This window comes from Homo sapiens, chromosome X (genome assembly GCF_000001405.40).
Source record: "Homo sapiens chromosome X, GRCh38.p14 Primary Assembly".
NCBI lineage: Eukaryota > Metazoa > Chordata > Mammalia > Primates > Hominidae > Homo > Homo sapiens.
The window spans coordinates 88,934,542-88,940,485 of NC_000023.11; the positions used below are offsets into that span (position 1 = coordinate 88,934,542).

At 35.2% G+C, this 5,944-nt stretch overlaps 1 annotated feature.

The window, feature by feature from the left end:
* Nucleotides 3,955-4,140: a silencer, noted in NCBI's record as "fragment chrX:88193497-88193682 (GRCh37/hg19 assembly coordinates)". NCBI's record gives its function as "represses an EF-1alpha promoter that drives an FKBP-Casp9 reporter gene in an ReSE screen in HepG2 liver carcinoma cells {active_cell/tissue: HepG2}" and the evidence as "EXISTENCE:reporter gene assay evidence [ECO:0000049][PMID:32094911]".

Consider the following 5,944-nt stretch of genomic DNA (forward strand, 5'->3'; position numbering starts at 1 on the left):
CTAATACCACATGTTCTCACTTGTAGGTGAGAGCTAAGCATTAATGGGGTTGTTTGATTTTGGCTCAATTTGTTTAAGTTTCTTATAGATTTTGGATATTAGACCTTTCTCAGATGTATAGTTTGCAAATATTTTCTCACATTCTATAGGTTGTCTGTTTGCTCTGTTGATAGTTTCTTCTGTTGTACAGAAGCTCTTGTTTAATTAAGTCTCACTTGTCAATGTTTGTTTTTGCTGCAATTGCTTTTGGTGTCTTCATCATGAAATCTGTGCCCATTCCTATGTCCAAAATGGTATTACCTGGCTTGTCTTCCAGGGTTTTTATGGTTTTGGGTTTATATTTAAGTCTTTAATACATCTTGATCTGATTTTTGTATATGGTAAATGGTAGGAATCCAGCTTTAATCTTCTGCATGTGGTTATTCAGTTATCCTAGCACCATTTATTGAACAGGAAATCCCTTCTTCATTATTCATTACTGTTGGTTTTCTGTAAGATTAAATGGCTGTAGTCGTACAGCCATATTTCTGGGTTCTCTAACCTATTTCATTGGTTTATATGCCTGTTTTTGTTTTGTACCAGTATCAAGTTATTTTAGTTATAGTAGCCTCATAGTATAGTTTGAAACCATGTATACCTCCAGCTTTTTTTTTTTTTTCCTTAGGGTTGCTTTGGCTATTCAGGATCTTTTTGGTTTCAAGTGAATTTTAGATTTTTTTTTTTCTAGTTCTATGTAAATTATTTTTGGTAGTTTGATAGAAATAGCATTGAATCTGTAAATTGCTTTGGACAGTATGGCCCTTTTAACAGTATCACAATATTGATTCTGCCTATTTGTGAGCATGGAACGTTTTCCCATTTGTTTGTGTCATCTCTCATATCTTCCAGAAGTGTTTTGTGATTCTCATTGTAGAGATCTTTTACATCCCCGGTTAGCTATATTCCTAGGTATTTTGTTAATTTTGCAGCTATTGTGAATAAGATTGCATTCCTGATTTGGTTCCTATCTTGGATTTTATTAGTGTATAGAAATGTTTCTAAATTTTGTGCATTTATTTTGTATTCTGAAACTTTGCTGAAGTTGTTTATCAGATCTATAATTCACATTGTCTGTGAAGAGAGATACTTCCTCTCTATTTGGATGCTTTTTTTTTTTCTTCTTGCCTGATTGCTCTACCTAAGACCTCCAGTACAGTGTTGAATAGGAGTTGTGAGAGTGAGAGTGGGATTCCTTGTTTTCTTTTGGTTCTCAAGGGGAATGCTTCCAGCTTTAGACTATTCAGTATGATGTTTGCTATGTGTCATAGATGGCTCTTATTCTTTTGAAGTATATACTTTGAATGTCTAGTTTGTTGTGGGTTAATAACATGAAAGGATGCTGAATTTTATCAAAAGCTTTATGTGCATCTGTTGAGATGATCATGTAGTTTTTGTCTTTAGTTCTGCTTACGTGATAGATCACATTTACTGATTTGTGTATAATGAACCAACCTTGCATCCCAGGGGTGGAGCCTACTTGATCATGGTGAATAAGCTTTTTGATGTGATGCTGGATTTTGATTGCCAGTATTTTCTTGAGCATTTTTGCATTGATGTTCATCAGGAATATTGGCCTGAAATTTTCATTTATTGTTGTATCTCTGCCAGGTTTTGGTATCAAAATGATGCTGGTCTCATAGAAGGAGATAGGGAGGTGTCCCTCCTCCTCAATTTTTTGAAATGGTTTCAGCAGGAATGGTACCAGCTCTTTTTTGTATGTCTGGTAGATTTGGCTATGAATTCATATGGTTCAGGGCTTTTCCTGATTGGTAGGTTTTTATTACCAATTCAATTTGGGAACTATTATTTATCTGTCAGGGATTCAATTTCTTCTTTTTCAATCTTGGGGGCTTGTATATTTCTAGAAAGTTATCAATTTATTCAATGTTATCTAAGTTGTGTGTGTAGCAGTATTTGTAATATTCTTTGAGGATTTTGTATTTCTGTGGGCTTAGTGGTGATGTCCTCCTTGTCATTTCTGATTTTATTTGGATATTGTCTCTTTTTTTCTAAATTAGCTTAGCTAGCACCATATCTATCTTATTCATTTTTTTCAAAGAACCAACTTTTGGTTTTGCTGATCTTTTGTATGGCTTCTCTCATCTCTATTTCAGTTAGTTCAGGCCTTATTTTGGTTATTTATTTTCTTCTGCTAGCTATAGGGTTGGTTTGCTTTTGTTTTTCTAGGTCCTTTAGGTGTAATGTTAGTTTAATAATTTGAGATCTTTCAAAGTTTTTGATGTGGGTGTTCAAAACTATCAAATTTTCTCTTAACACTACATTAGCTGTGTCCCAGAGATTCTGCTATGCTTTATTTTCGTTTCCATTAGTTTCAAAGAATTTCTTGTTTTCTGCCTTAATTTCATTGTTTATCCAAAAGTCATTTAAGAGCAGATTGTTTAACTTCCATGTGATTGTATGGTTTTGAGAGATCTTGGTTTTGATTTCTATTTTTACTGTGCTATGGTCTGAGAGTGTGGGTGGTATGATTTTTTAAAAAATTTTCTTGAGATCTGCTTTATGGTTGAGGGTTTGACCAATTTTAAAGTATGTGCCATGTGCAGATAAAAGTAATGTACATTCCGTTGTTGTTGGCTGGAATGTTCTGTAGACGTATGTTAGGCCCATTTTGTCACGTGTCAAATTTAGAACCCAAATATCATTGTTAGTGTTCTTTCTCAATGATCTGTCCAGTTTTGTCTGTGGGGTGTTGAAGTCTCTCGCTATTATTGTTTGGTTATTTATATCTCTTTGTAAGTCTCTATGCACTTGTTTTATCAATCTGTGTACTCCAGTTTTAGGTGCATATTTAGTATAGGTTAAGTCTTCTTGTTGAATTGAATACTTTATCACTATGAAATGCCCTTCTTTTTCATTGTTTTTGATATAATATCTTTTGTTCTAAAATAAAAATAGTGACATCTTCTCTCTTTTTGTTTTATGTTTGTTTTGATAGACAGTTCTCCATCCCTTTACTTTGAGCCTATGGTTGCCCTTGCATGGGAGATGGGTCTCTTGAAGATAGCATAGAGTTGGTCCTGATTTTTTATCCAACTTGCCAGTCTGTGGCTTTCAAGTGGGAATGATTGGCTCATTTCCTTTCAAGGTTAATATTGATATGTGAGGATTTGATCCTTTCATTTTGTTATTAGTTGGTTGTTATGTAGACTTGATTGTGTATTAGCTTTATAGTTTCAATTGTCTATGTACTGGAGTGTGGTTTTGTGGTGGCTGCTAATGGTCTGTTGGTTCCACATTTAGCACTCCCTTAAGAACCTCTTGTGAGGCAGGTCTGATGGTAATAAATTGTCTTAGCATTTGCTTATCTACAAATAATTTTATTGATCCTTCACTTAAGAAGCTTAGTTTGGTTAGATATGAAATTCTTGTTTGGAATTTTTTTTCTTTAAAACTGCTGAATATAGGACCCTTAATTTCTTCTGGCTTGTAGGGTTTCTGCTGAAAGGTCATGTGTTGCTTCATTTCTGGGTGTTTTCAGGAGACATATGAAACATCAGATGTCTGATGGTTTCTCTGTATTTCCTCATGTTTGCAGCCATGCTCCCTCTCAGTGCTCTGAGAGTGTGGACTCCTTTCCTACTTCAGTGCTGGCCACAGACCTTGGCTTGGCACTTCCAGTCTGTGCACTGCAGGCCTGGGGCAAGCTTAGACTTTTTGCTTACTCCTCAGCTTAGAGAAAGCAAAGTTGGAGACATTGGCAGTGGCAATGGCAAAGCACCTTTCACTAGTGTCTTAGGGCTCCACTCCAGAGAAACACAGAGCCTTGGCAAGTTGGATTGATCAGCCTAGGGTGGGAAGACTGTGTTGTGAGCCCAAGATAGGAAGCCCTGTGTGGTGAAGAGTAGGAGATTTGAGGAGCTTATGGGGAAAACAGTCTAACCTTTTTTTTTGTAGGGTGACTGCAATGTGCTGGAGGTCCAAGCACTCAGGCTCTCTGTTTCTTCCCTAGCCCAAGGGCAGTAAGGATAGTACCACTGCATTGGTAGTGGCAGAGGGGCTGTCAGTTGTCTCTAAGAACACCACCCCAGAGAGACAGAGCCACTTCCAATGGGAATGTTTAGCCGGGGTGGTGTGACTGTGCTGTGGGACCAAATCTGGGGCCCTACCCTGTGAAGAGTGAGGGAAGAGTCTTACAAGGAAGGAGACTGGGCTCCTCCCTGTATGGTGTCTGCAGTGTGCTGGAGGTTCCAGTAAAATGATCAGTTTTGGGTATGTTTTATCAGCAGTGTGAAAATGGACTAATACAAGCATTTCACACAAAGTTAAAAAGATTACTTCAGACTTCTTTAGTTTATGCAGTTAATAGTCACAAACATTTCAGCCCTCCATGAATCCTGAAAGATTTTCTTTTATTCTAACATCACAATTTCTAAAGTGATTAGAAACCTGCATTTAATGACACCTGTTAGAGTTCTATAGCTGACTATAAACCACCTTCTAAAGAGGATTAAAACCAGACAACAATGATCTGTGGGTGATAAAAAGCCTTAGGACAGCCACCATCAAAAACACAATTGACAAAGAAATTTGGTTACCTTTGTGGCATATAAAAGTTTACATAAAAATTATAACTATTAATAACATACACTAAGCCATATTAGAATTAGAAGAGTTTCCCATGATTTGGAACATATACCAAATATTAATGCAAATACAGCCCAAAGAACACTAAACACAATTTCATATTTGACAATGCTTTCAGTATGATTTTTATACCAAATACGCCAAATGTCACCATTGCATTAGTGCATTATTGACATCAAACCCAATTCTTAAGAAAACCTTATAGACAAATATGTTTAATCTTAATTAGTTTGACCATAAGGTAAGATTCTTTTAAACATTTTATAACTCTTTACAATTTTTTTGTTAAAGAGCATATTATAAGCAGGTTTTTGCTCTAAGAAAAACCTGTTGTGCTTTTACTTTAATGCTTAATTTATAGAAAAACCGAATAATACCCCTTTAACTTTAGCCAAAATGTTCACACACAGAATTAATTTCTTTTACAATTAATTTTTCACAAACCTTCCACAACTTGTTTAAACCTTCAGCTTTATCCTAACTTAAAACAATTTTTAACCCTTTAATTTAGGCAGAAAAAAAATCTACATTCCCATCACTTCTTATAATCTTTTACCAAAAGTATTAATATATTCTACTTCCCTTACACACTTCATGTGTAGAACTGTTTTTTCAGTAGTCTGAAATACATGTTACAATGTTAACTCTCAGTGACTTTTACTTTTGGTGAAAACCTTGGTAAATTTGGGATTTTAATTATGTACTAGGTGTGTAGCCTAGCCTAGGACACACCAGGCAGAAGTGCAGGTAAGGGTCTTTCTAACTCCACATGTCCTAGGTCTTACCTAGCTGTAAAGCAGGCAAGTTGTACAGTTGAGTCATAGCGGCATTTTATGAAGAATTTTCTTTGCATAGTTAGAGGGCATGGCTAATTCCACATGTCCCCAGGCCTTATCTAGAATCTAATGTTTCAAGGTAGGTAAATTAAACAATTTTCAAAAGTCAAAGAAGCAGTTTATGACCTTAAAGCATTTAGTAAACTTAATATCTGACCTATGTAATTTAGACCAAACGTTTATATTTTTGAAGATATTTTTGTTTTACCAATAATCTTTAAAACTATCTTTATTTCCAAAAGATTATTAAAGTCATATGAACTAAAAGGCATTACACTTTTTACTTTTCTGGCAAAATATCTGATTTAACCACTTATTATTTTTAAGCCAATTAAAGCTTTTTTTTATGTTACACACACAACACATATAAATACACAGACAGACAGAAGATAAAGGACTCATTTATTCTCTAAGCCAGGAATTGGACTCTGAACTCAGGACACCATTGTGAAAAGAGAAAGGAT